This window comes from Homo sapiens, chromosome 5, assembly GCF_000001405.40.
Source record: "Homo sapiens chromosome 5, GRCh38.p14 Primary Assembly".
Lineage (NCBI taxonomy): Eukaryota > Metazoa > Chordata > Mammalia > Primates > Hominidae > Homo > Homo sapiens.
In genome coordinates, this window is record NC_000005.10 from 12541659 (window position 1) to 12554886 (window position 13228).

General features: G+C 35.3%; 1 long non-coding RNA gene across 3 annotated transcripts in view; it reads right to left on the reverse strand.

Annotated features, from left to right (window-relative positions):
- Positions 1-13228, reverse strand: part of LOC105374655 (uncharacterized) — a 213260-nt gene that overhangs the window by 180278 nt on the left and 19754 nt on the right. The window contains exon 3 of one of the 3 annotated variants that reach the window (NR_188268.1): positions 10217-12380. The exons of the other annotated variants lie outside the window; for them this stretch is intronic. This is a non-coding gene — a long non-coding RNA (uncharacterized LOC105374655). Of the gene's footprint in view, positions 1-10216; positions 12381-13228 lie in introns of those variants that run through there. 3 annotated transcript variants of the gene reach the window in all.

The following is a 13228-nucleotide window of genomic DNA, read 5'->3' on the forward strand; positions in this document are numbered from 1 at the left end:
TAAGACAGAGCCCTTTAGGGAACAAGGAAATGGATTTCTTTGGCTACAATGACAAAAAGGAAATAAATATTTTACCACATCTTGTTTCACAGGGCTAACCTTGTCCTGGGCCAAACTGTCCTCAGGAAATCCAGTGCTATGTTGAGGAAATCCAGTTTCCCTCTCAGATTCTTTTTGAGTTCTTTTTTACTAAGTGAATAAATTATGCTGTTTTCTGGAAGAAAAATGAAGTCCTAACGAAATAATCCTCAGAAAAATCACCTACTTAAAGTGTATATGTTACATATGTTATAAATATTATAAATGTGTATCAATGAATTTCTAATAGGTAAATATAAGTAAGAAAAATTACAATATCTACAAATGTCTTCTAAATGACTTTAGACTTGACAAATCAGTGTCAATTGAGATTCTTTTTCTGTTGCTTGAGGGACACTTTAGCAAAATAGATAAACAATCAGACCCTGGATTTAGCACTGAAGTCTCGTTTGAGATCTAAATCTGTCATGTACAAGACTTGTAACACAAATCAAGTTATATGTTCACTTGTGCCTCAGTATCCTCAACTATAAAATAGTAGTTCTTCCCTCACTGTATTGTTGTAAGGATTAATTAAATTAATAAATAAGGGACATTTTAAAAAATCCTGTCAAAATAATACTATACATTGATTTGCTATTTTTTTCCATAGCAAATCTTTTTTCACCCCTCAAAAATTTGCATGCATTGTAATAGATGCCAGACATTAACGACTATGCCAGACATATGCATTTCTTCCTGGATGGCTGTTACAATATAGCAAGGATGACACTGTGAACAGTAAACATAAAAAGGCATTTATTTCTCATGAAGGAAGATGGTATGGGTGAATAAGTACATTTGGGAATTGAGGTGGAGCTTTCTTGAGGAAACGATATTTTAGATTGTACCTAAAGAATAAAATGGACACTTTGGGAGGCCGAGGTGGGCGGATCACGAGGTCAGGAGATCGAGACCATCCTGGCCAACATGGAGAAAGCCCATCTCTACTAAAAATACAAAAATTAGCCAGGCATGCGTGCCTGTAATCCCAGCTACTCGGGAGGCTGAGGCAGGAGAATTGCTTGAACCAGGGAGTTGGAGGTTGCAGTGAGCCGAGATATCGCCATCGCACTCCAGCCTGGTGATAGAAGGGAAACTCCATCTCAAAAATTATAAAATAAAATAAAATAAAATATAAAATAAAATAAAATAAATAAAATAAAATAAAATACATAAAATAAAATAAAATAAATAAAATAAAATAAAATAAAATAAAATGGAGTAAGTAAGAGGGGCAAGATAATTCCAATGAGAATTAACCAAATGGGCCAAGATCTGAGGCAAGAAAGGGAATAGTGGGGAAGATTAAGTTAAGAGAAGAGCAAGGACTAACATACAAATGAAAGAAGTTACACTAAATATTAGCGATTTTAGAGGGAATAAAATAGGAAGCCATGAATTAGTTTCTGGAAAATAAAAAGAAAATGATCCGATTTATATGTTTTAAAAAAATACGTTAACATTTGAAGTAAGGGTTTGGAGAAGAAATAGCAAGAGCAGAGGTAAGGAGACTAGTTCACGTGCCTTTGCATGATATTGTGTTGGGCTGAGCTACAGTGGTGGAGGTAGGAGAAAGAATTTAAATGACTGCAGAAACCAGTTAGGTGCAGCATCTATAAAACATTGCATGAGCATAGACAGGAGGAAAAGGAAGGTGTTAAGAATACATTGAGAAAAAAGATGGACTATTATCCCTTTTTAAATATGGAGAACCCTTTGGATTTAGGAAAAAATATAGATATCGGGTATGAGTTGTTGAGTTTCTGAATAAAATGAGACAATAAAGTAAATATGTCAGCCTGGGATTCAAAACTGTATGTAAGTGTGCGTATGTTTGCATGTTCTATGTTTGTAGATACATATATATTTACATATATAAGACAGATGCAAAATATGACATTTCAAAGCATGAGAATGAGTAATGTTGCCCAGAGATAAAATTGAGAGAGATAATGTGTCCAAGACTTGATTTCTATAAAATTGGGGAAATTAAAATAGAAATTAGGGCCACGTGTTAATATTAAATAAAAAAGCCAATGTTTCTACAAGAAATGAAGAATCAACTATATTGAACATATCTGCAGTTCCAGGAAAGATGTGGACTCAAAAGTTCCAAATGCCTTGGAAATGGGTAATAAGTCTAACATAAGCAATAGCCAATTTCCTGGATATTAAAAACTGCAAGACTAAAAAGACTTGGTTGCAGAGTGTGGGGAAAATGTGAGTGGGGACAGGTTTCATGAGAACATGAATGTTTTGAGCCATGTGAAAGAGACATGAGTACAGTCATTGAGTGGATAGAGTCTAGGGTAGATTGGGGCACTGTAGTACATTTTCACATAGAGGTGCATGATCTAGGAGAGGGATGTGAGGAAGGTTCAGGAAAATAATAAGATAAAGAAAGTTGCTGAGAAAATGAACAGGGATGGTGCAGTAGCACTGCAACACTGCTAATAAAGACATACCAGAGACTGGGTAATTTATAAAGGGAAGAGGTTTAATTGACTCACAGTTCCTGTGAGGGGGCTGGAGGGGGCTCACAAACATGGTGGAAGGTTAATGGGGAGCAAAGTCATATCTTTCAAGGTGGTAGGCAAGCGAGTGTGTGCAGGGGAACCCTCCTTTATAAAACCATCAGATCTCGTGAGACGTATTCACTACCAGGAGAACAACGTGGGAAAGACCCGCCCCCATGATTCAATTACCTCCCACTGGGTCCCTCCCATGACACGTGGCAATTATGGGAGATAAAATTCAAGATGAGATTTGGGTGGGGACACAACCAAACCATATCACTTGGGTTCCAAAGCTCATATGGAGAAATGGCCTCAGGTAAGCGAAGAGCAGACACCTTAGGAAGGAAAAACTCTACTCTCTGCTTTTTAATTTATTGCTTATTCTGGAAATATCTCATGTTGCACTATAGTTTTTTCTAATAATATCTGCGTTATTACATGAAGTTTTTCCCAAGCATGCTTGCATAATTGTAGCCTATTGTATTATTTTTTATAATGTAGTCTGAATATTGGTAGAAAAGTTGATAGAAAAGTTTTGTTTCCTTCATTCAACAATGTATAGTTTCAACATAACGACTATATTTTAGAAAGGAAAATATATTAATGTATTGCCACATGACATATCGGTTATAAATGACTATTAACATTCAACATTTTTAAGTTAGCTTTTTAACATTATTGCATTGTGAAACTCCTGAATTATCTTGAGGGAGAAAGACTCTATATACAATTTGACCCTAAACTACATTATCATTATCATTATTTTTTGAGATGGAGTCTCGCATTGTCATAGGGGCTTGTGTGCAGTGGCACAATCTTGGCTCAATGTAACCTCTGCCTCCCAGGTTCAAGTGATTCTCCTGCCTCAGCCTCCTGAGTAGCTAGGATTACAGGTGCCCGCCACCCCGCCTGGCTAACTTTTTGTATTTTTAGTAGAGACGGGGTTTCACTCTGATGGCCACACTGGTCTTGAACTCCTGACCTCGTGATCCGCCCGACTCAGCCTCCCAAAGTGCTGGGATTTCAGCCACTGCACCCGGCCTATTATTTTTGTTTTTTTAAAAATGATTATTTATTATTACATGTGCTGGGATTACAGGCGTGGGCTACCGTGCCCAGCCTATTATTTTTGTTTTTTTAAAATAATTATTTATTATTACATATATATGTTTTATGAGTCTCACATCTTTAAAGGATTATAGTTGACCAAATACATCCTTAAAAAGTTCTGTAATTCCCAGACAATATTATGCAAGTTAATAAAAATTTGTTGTGATTAGGCTACACAGATTTGTTGAAGATGGACATGATTTCTTCCTTTGTATTATGCAATTAAGAATTTCAATTTATAACATACATTCAGAGCTAATTATAAGATACCAAGCATTTTGAACAAAATTGGAGATCTATATTTGCAGATATCTGTGACTTTCATTCATTTCCAAGAGGGTACACTGTGTTTCTGGACACGAGTGAAAGTTCCAGGTGCATGGGTGTCTCATTGAACAGCAGAAGGAGGATGAAAAGTACTGTTGAACTGTAGGGAGGCTAAAGAAATACTCTTCTTGGAGACTAGTCTCATAAAACATTACTGCATTCCCTCACTTCTTCATTCATTCATTTATTCTACAATTCTTTTGAGATTTTAATACATTCCAAGAATTATGTTAGCTGTTATGAGTTGCATAAGTATTCTCATCCTGATTCTTCAAGTACAAATTGAAGTATGAGAAAGACATACGATAATAAACCCCCCCCAAACAATAGCATTGGCTCATGGAACATCAAGGACAGTGTCCTGGGAGGAGAACTGTGTGGAAAACATTTTGCCTGCCCCCTGACCTTGTAGGGGGATATTTTCTTCAAAATCCTGGGAGATTTGGGAGAAATCTCATAGATCCACATAGATCCCAAATCCTGGGATTCTATGTGGATAAAATTAATGTAAATATAGACCTCTTTCTCTGCTCTTTAATTTCATCTATCCTACTTTAATTATTTATCTGATTGGAAAACTAAAATGAGAGAAATTGAAAAAAGGGAGAGAGTGAATGAAACTAGGTAAGCTTGGCTCAGTTTTGTATTTCTTCCTTTCAGGAGAATACTGCACACTTGGGTTGGCAAGCTGCTTTGCTGTACTGTCAATGGGCATCCTCCTGAGAACAAGAAGTCTGGCATTCCTAGGACTGTGTCTAGGAAAAGGTAATAACTTGCCCTTCATCTTCTATTCTCTGCATCATTTTAAAGCTTGTTTAGAACCTGGGAAGGGAAGAGGACCATTAGTTTTTTGATTCCCCTCAGAGTATCCCCAAGCAACTTCAGCATCCTTCTGGTTGGTTATTATCATTAAACTGAAATCTGAACCTAAAATATGTATCTTCAGAGAATTTTAAGAATTTAGCCAAGAGTGTTTTAGTAGTGATTTGAGGAAAGAAGAAAGAGGAAAAGCTAGGTTGAATTAGCTGACTCAGCAGACTCAGATATATATATATATATATATATATATATATATATATATATATATATATATATATATAATATGTATATATATGATCTATATATATCTGAGAATATATATTATATGTAACATAATCTTATAATATATTTATGTGAACAATGGAGAAATTTTTACTTACAAAAAAGTTACTAACAAGATATTTTGAAAAATTACTCTAGGAAACAGGATATTTTTATGGTACAAAATTTTGAGGAATTAAAAGTTTAAAACAAAACATGAACAACCTGAGATAAAATCAAATTTAGAATAAGTTAAAGACATACTTGGTAGAATTTAAAAAAGGAATCAAAAAAGGAAAATACCATTGAGTGATTTATTACTATTTACAGGGGAAAATAAAACCCTACAAAATAAATTATTTAGATTAAAAAAAAAACAGCAGCAATAATGGGGACATATTGGAGAATATGACAGAGTAGTCAGTAAAGGCAAATAGATAAAAATGAGTTCCAAGAATATTATTCCTCTGGACACAGACACTATGATATAAAATGTCCATAATTGATGTATTTGAAAGTAGACGAGGAAAAATGAAACAAAATATTCAGAATAAATACAGGAACATTTTCTGTAAAAGAAACCTGAATAGGTAGATTCAAAACACTCAATGTATTTCAGTGACTCAAAAAGCATTAATAATGATCAAAAAGACTGAGACAGATTCTGGTAAACTTACTGATCTTCGGGTTTAAAGAAGGAAACCTGCAAGCATCCAGGGAAAAAGACAGGAGGTCATTTAAAAAGGGAAATACAGAGATGATTTTATATTTCTCAGTAACTTTAGGTGACAGATGACAACAGGGAAACCTCTACAATGCATGAAAAAGAAATGAATAGACCCAGCAATCTTATGACCAGCTGGCATGTTATCCATTGTATAGCACAAAATGAAGATGAGTTTGACAAATCCAAGGTTCAGGAAATAAAGCATTCACTAACTCACTGTTAAAGAATATGCTGGTGAATGTGTCCATTCATCAGAACTATAGCTAAATAACCATAAAAAGTACAAACAGAGAATGGGATGTAAAAGCTACAAGTAAAAAAAAGATGTTTAACATGAAAAATAATATATTTCTTATACACTGAATGAGAATGTATCCAGATATTTTCCCCAGTCTCTTTTGAGAAAAAAATGACTAATTATGAAAGTATATTCATTTATTTATGCCTGAATAAAACAAATTATTTATTTAACACACAATGTGTCAGCCACCTCTCTGCATGCTAAGGATACTACAAAGAAAAACAAAAATTCCTTCCTTCCTAACAGATCCTTCCTAACAGAGTATATGTGCTAGAGCAGGGGTCCCCAACCCCTGGGCCATCCAGTAGTGGTCTGTGGCCTGTCAGGAACGAGGCCACACAGCAGGGGTTGAGTGGTGGCAAGTGAGCATTACCACCTGAGCTCTACCTCCTGTCAGATCAGCAGCAGCATTAGATTCTCATAGGAGCACAAACCCCACGGTAAACTGTGCATGCGAGGACTCTGGGTTGCATGCTCCTTACGCGAATCTAACACCTGATGATCTGAGGTGGAGCAGTTTTATCCCAAAACCATCTCCCCCCAACTGTCTGTGAAAAAACTGTCTTCCACAAAACCGGTTCCTGATGCCAAAAAGGTTGGGTACCACTGCTCTACAGAGATAGACATAAATTAAAAAGGTAAATATATAATATGTTAGATAATCAGTGTTATATAGAACAAAAGCAAAGAAGGAGCACAGGGAATGACTTATTAATCACCTTCCTTATTTAGTTGAGTTTGCAATTTTAAACTGGGTGGTAAGTGAAGACAAATAAGAAAGAAGGTTGTATTTAAGCCTTCTAAAAGAAGATGTGTATGACCTTCAGATTCCCTTGGGGAGAGGTCACCTAGATCCCACATGTAATCATTATTCTCCTTAAAATAGCTGAGATGTAGGTGGAGAGGAAGGGTGAGATCAGGGAGCTTGGAGGGAGAGAGCAAGTCCATGTCAGGAAGCAAGGATTTACCTTTTTTTTTTTCAGTTTTGAATGACGGCCTCCTGAGGCAACATTTTGTTGATTCTGGACAAATTCAAGCATCGTAATGCAAAAGTACGTCATCTCATCCTCCTGTCTTATACCCTTTAACTTCTGCACTAGATCTCTGCTGCTGACCCTGAGGCTGGAGAAGCCACAGGACTATGTACAAGCTTGTCCAACCCCCAAGACCCACTGGGCTGCATGGGCCACAAGCAGCCCAGGACAGCTTTGAATGCCGCCTAACAGATTCGTAAGCTTTCTTAAAATATTATGAGATTTTTTGTGATTTTTTTTTTTTTGGCTATCGTTAGTGTTAGTGTATTTTATGTGTAACCCAAGACAATTCTTTTTCAAATGTGGCCCAGGGAAGCAAAAAGATTTGATGCTGCTGCTGATGAATTCTGACTAAATGTCCTATAAGGCAAAACACTGACAAATAACAGAAAAGCAATGGTGAATACAATTTTCTTTCTTCCACTTTCCAACAGGCTTGTCTTAGTTCATTTGTGCTGTAATAACAAAACATACAGACTGAGTAATTTATTAAAAAAAATAAGAAATTCATTTTTTACAATTCTGCAGGCTGGAAGTCCAAGATCCAGGCATGGTTAAGGTTGGTGTCCAGTGAGGGCTACTCTCTGCTTTGAAGATGGTGCCTTGTGGCTACATCCTCTCATGGTAGAAAGTGAAAGGGCAAAGTGGGAGAACCCTATGTGAAGGCTCTTTTATAAGAGCCTTAATTCATGCATGGGGGTGGAGTCCTCATGACTAAATCATTTCCCAAAAGGCCTCACCTCTTAATATAACTGCATTAGAAATTAAGTTAAAAACGTGGATTTTGGAGGGGACACAAACATTCAAACCCTAGCAAGGCTATATTGAATTATCATTTGTGTGGCTTTTTAGAAGAGGGTCCTGCAAAATGGAACAATCAGTAGTGCTTGATATCTCGTTCCCCTTTCCCTGCCCTTTTGTCCTGGGGTTGCACTCTCAAAAATATAATAGAATGTAAATATATGCTACAGGATCTGCTTCTGGAGAAGCTCAGGGTAAAACAATATTTATAATTTTACAAATTACAACATCTATAAATTCTAGAATCACTAACTGTTTCACTTTGGTCTCAGATGGTTTATTGGACACGGCTTTCATTAATGGCATCCTAATTGTCAAAGGGGTCAAAACTGCCCCAACTTCTCTCGGGGAATAAGCCTATACAGATATTTTGGAAAACGAATTGCCCCATAAAGATATGTCCTGGAAATAAGGGTGTCAGTGTCTTGGCAGACCTTCTGGGACAGTAACCAGCATCTCACAAAACCAGATGCTCCATGAATGACAGGCGGTCTCTGAAGAAACTGGTGGTCTTGTCCATTATACAGCAGCAGAGGGAGTTAAAATGTCTCCATTTGCTTCATTTTGGTTCATGTGACCCTATTTTCTCTGGAGAAAACAACAACAGCAGCAACAAAACCAACAATAAGAACACCCAATTTGCCATGAAGTATTTCTTCCAATATTTATTTTTTTTGTGTGTATATCTTTGTTTTTGTTTTTACAGATAGACTCTCACTCTGTTGCCCATGCTGGAGTACGGGGTGTTCTATAACTCACTGTAACCTTGAACTTCTAGGCTCTAGTGATTCTCCCACCTTGGCCTCCCAAAACACTTGGATTACAGGTGCAAGCCACCATGCCCAACCTTATGATAGCATTTATTTTGTATCCATAGACTTTCTTTGCTAGATTGAGTAAATCTTCTATATCTGATAGAAGGGAAAGGAGAAAGTCATAAGGGAATGTAGAGTTAAGAAAATTTGATGAGCTTTGGTGTACAGAAAAGGGTAATACATGTGCATCAAATATTTAATTATTTAAGTATATAAATATGTTACAAATGAGTGCGTAATAATATCATTGTTATTTGGTAGGGAAGTGGTGACACAGAGGACATTAATACTTTATGCCTCATCTTCTTAGAACACCTCTGATTTCCATGCACAATTCTGTGCAACATCAGCCTCTGCCCATGAATCCCTTCCTATGCCTGGACTGAGAGTCTTACCATTTCCTATCCAGTGCCATTTCTAGGTCTTTTCGAAGACATGTAAGAGTTACCCATAATGTAGAAGGGTTAAGGTACCCAGGGTCATCCCCTAACAAATGAATTAATAAAAGTTTTCTTGTGTTTCAGGAGGAAAATTCAGACAGGCATTTTATACATTGGTTGGGAAGTATCAGCAGAATTAATTCTGGTAGCCACAACCGTGATCTTGACAAAACACTCTCCATATTGGCTTTTCCAACTTCTTTCCCTTCATGTCATCCTCCCAAACTGCCCATCTCTGCCATCATCTCCCCAGTAAAATATGTCCACCTATTCTATTGACCTCAAGCTCTGCCTTGGGGAGGGAGTTATTAACCATATGAGAGTTTTTATTTCATAGGGAGAACACTATGTTTGCCAGTTGCCACATTCATATGCAGAAAAAGGGAAAGTCCAGTGGGCAGTAAGAAGCAACTGAAAGAGAACGAAATGTTTTGCAAGGGAAGGGGATACAAGGTAAACTATTAAAGAGAAGACTGAGTTTTACATAGTTTTATATAAGAATGACTCTACTTATAATCAAGGAATCTCATAGATATTCCAATTTTTTTCTAAGTAAACATTCGTTTTCATGACAGATGATTTAAAATCTCTTTCCTTATGCTAAACAAAAGTAACTCTTTGGGGACAAATTTATAAATAGATTTATAGGGAATATGATTTGGAGAATGTGATAATTAGGGACCTCAAGATATTCCACATAATCTGGAGGTAAAGAAAATAAAAGTTTAATAAGAAGTGCCTCAGGATATTGGAAATCAGAAGTAACATTTTTTTTTTTTTTTGCACAAAGTTATTTTAAGATGTAATGACACCCAAAGGAACATGATATTAACACAGCCAGATTGAAGGAACTGCACATAAAGTAATTCACTGACGTTTACTCAGGAAAGAAACATAGAAAGAATCCTGGAATCAAATCCCAGGAGAAATAAACCCAAGTCCCAATTATAATTTTAATCACATTGTGTGAATGGACACATTAGGTCATTTCTAATCTTTTTTATTTTGACTTTATGCTCAAAACAGCTATAGCTTTGGGAATGGAGAAAAGAACCAATTTTCTCCAAGAATTAGCAGAAAAGAACTATTTTCTTACTATATTAAAAGAAGATGGAAATTTTAAACATTCATAAAAGCAATGATATAAATTTGTCACACACAGGCAATCGTTTCATATACTTAGAAACAACTTTTTTATCCATTAGATATCAATGTGAGATAGTTAATATCAAAGAGCAGCAACTATTGCTTAAAAAGAATTGCTTGTGTTTAAGTGAATCACAGTTTATCAAGATTATAGACTTAAGAAACTTATTTTTATCTTTTAATTTCAAGTTAAAAAAGTAAGTTTTATGTAAAATAAAATCAATCCATTTATAAGCATGATTAATGTTTGCATGTATACATTTCTTATAAATAGTTCCATTTTTAGACTCATTTCATGATTTTCCTTTAAATGTTTCAAACTATTTATTAATTTTCTAGGTTTGATTTTATTTTAAGCAGTTAATTGCTTCCTGATTGAACAAGTTTATGAGTTTACCAAGAAAATATTCCTAAGTACTTAAACAACATATGCAAATCCAGTAAATTAAAACTGTAAATATAGTAAAAATAGTCTGCAAAAATATTCATTCTTTATGTATTTACTAAAATATATATCTTTTAAATTAAAATAATAAATTTGAAATCAATTTTATATTGTTAGATTGAGATTTTTAGGGCTGATCTGTCAGGTTCTCTAATGAACCAAAGTTTTTCAAACATAACAATACTTCAAACATTATTCAGATTTTTTCTAATAAAAAAATTGCTCTTGTGACATATCTGATCTACTGTTGTAAATCACCTCTATATATTTATCCTTTTTTTAACACAAACTTGTAAAATCACTTATCTTTTGATAAAGCAGATTTTATGTTTCAAAGAGTTGTAGTCTGCAGATCAATTATGTAGGACCAGGTAATGGTGAAGATGTCAGGTAGATTGAGGTCACAATGAAGTCTTGGAGGCTGCATTCATTTAACTGAATTATTTCGTCCTGTACATAAGCATACTGAGGACTTTTCTCATTCTGATGACATGAGGAATCTTCACTAAGAAGGCTTCTACAACTACATTAAGATTGATTTCAGGGCTGGAGTGGCGGCTCACATCTGTAATCCTAGCACTTTGGGAGGTTGAGGGAGGAGGATCTCTTGAGCCCAAAATTCGAGATCAGGCTGGGCAACATGGCAAAACTCTGTCTCTACAAAAAATACAAAAATTAGCTAGGCATGGTGTTGCATGCCTGTAGTCCCAGTTACTCAGGAGGCTGAGGTGGGAGGATGGCTTGAGCCTGGGAAGTGGAGGTTGCAGTGAGCTAACATCAAGCCACTGAACTCCAGCCTGGATGACAGGGTGAGACTTTGTCTCAAAAAAAAATTTTAAAATGGACTTCAAAACATTAATTTTTTACCTCAAATACTTCACATGTACTACATTCATCTAATTAGAACTGATACCTATTTGCACACACTCTTACAGATAACTAATTTTACAACTTATTTTTACTCTGCATTACAATAAAACAATATGTTTTCCAATATTTTAAAATATATTATAATTCTTAATTCTCACACATAACTTTATCTGACTAGTAACAATTTGAATGTCACTCGGCATTACAATAAAATAATATGTTTTCCAATATTTTAAAATATATTGTAATTCTTAATTCTCATACATAACTTTATCTGACTGGTAACAATTTGAATGTCAGGAAAATGAAAAGACAGACATAGAAATAGAATTAGAAAATCAAATTCTCTTCCTGAATTAAGTAAAGCCATCTCTCAATCACTGTAGATATGCTGTATCTATGTTCCCTAAGAAAAAATAACAGCCGGGCACGGTGGCTCACGCTTGTAATCCCAGCACTTTGGGAGGCCAAGGCAGGTGGATCACGAGGTCAGGACATCGAGACCACGGTGAAACGCCGTCTCTACTAAAAATACAAAAAATTAGCCGGGCGTGGTGGCGGGCGCTTGTAGTCCTAGCTAATCGGGAGGCTGAGGCAGGAAAATGGTGTGAACCCGGGAGGCGGAGCTTGCAGTGAGCCGAGATTGCGCCACTGTACTCCAGCTTGGGCGAGAGAGTGAGACTCCGTCTCAAAAAAAAAGAAAAAATAACAATAATCAATATTCTCATGTCTTTCATGCCTTCAGAAGGAAAAAAATAGAGGTTTACCAGTTGTCGAAAGAAAATGTAAACAGCCATTCCACTTTATATACCTTAAACTATTCGGTCTTGGATATAATAAGTGCCTTTATAAATAAACAGACGGAAACAGGAATTAGGAAAGTTGTGACTGTAAAGTAACATAATAGAACAGGATGTGTAAAATACATTTTAAAATAATAATTATTAAATGTTAAATTTCAAAGTAGAAAAACATAGTAAAATATCTTTAAGGACACATGATGAATTAATGGAAATTGGTATTAATTCAAGTTGAAACACAAAACAAGGAGAAAAGATCAAGTTTTTCAGACCCTAGAAGGTAAAAATATGTGATTGCAATCTTAGAAAACAAGATAAAATTACGGAATAATAGTATTTTAGGGTTATATAAGCTAATACAACCTCACCTGCTTACATTACAAATAAGGATATTAAAATTCTGTAATGTAACATGACTATTACTATTTTAGACACATGTATATTTAGCACCAAATATTTAATAATATAAATCATTTGAGAAAAACCAAATTAGTTCTTTTTCTGATGTAGTGATCACCAAACCACACTCTGATGACAAATTCAGTATGTAGAGTTAACATGCATATGGCAAGGGAATGTCTAAGATGCTTCTATATGTGTTAAATTATTTAATAACTGAGGGTCATGTAAACCTTCAGTCTTTGACAAGTCATTCCAGTTACAAGTATTAATTAAAAAGTTATTGAGTAAGTAGTTGATGTGCAATAGCATCTATCTAAAAAAGTCTACACTGTC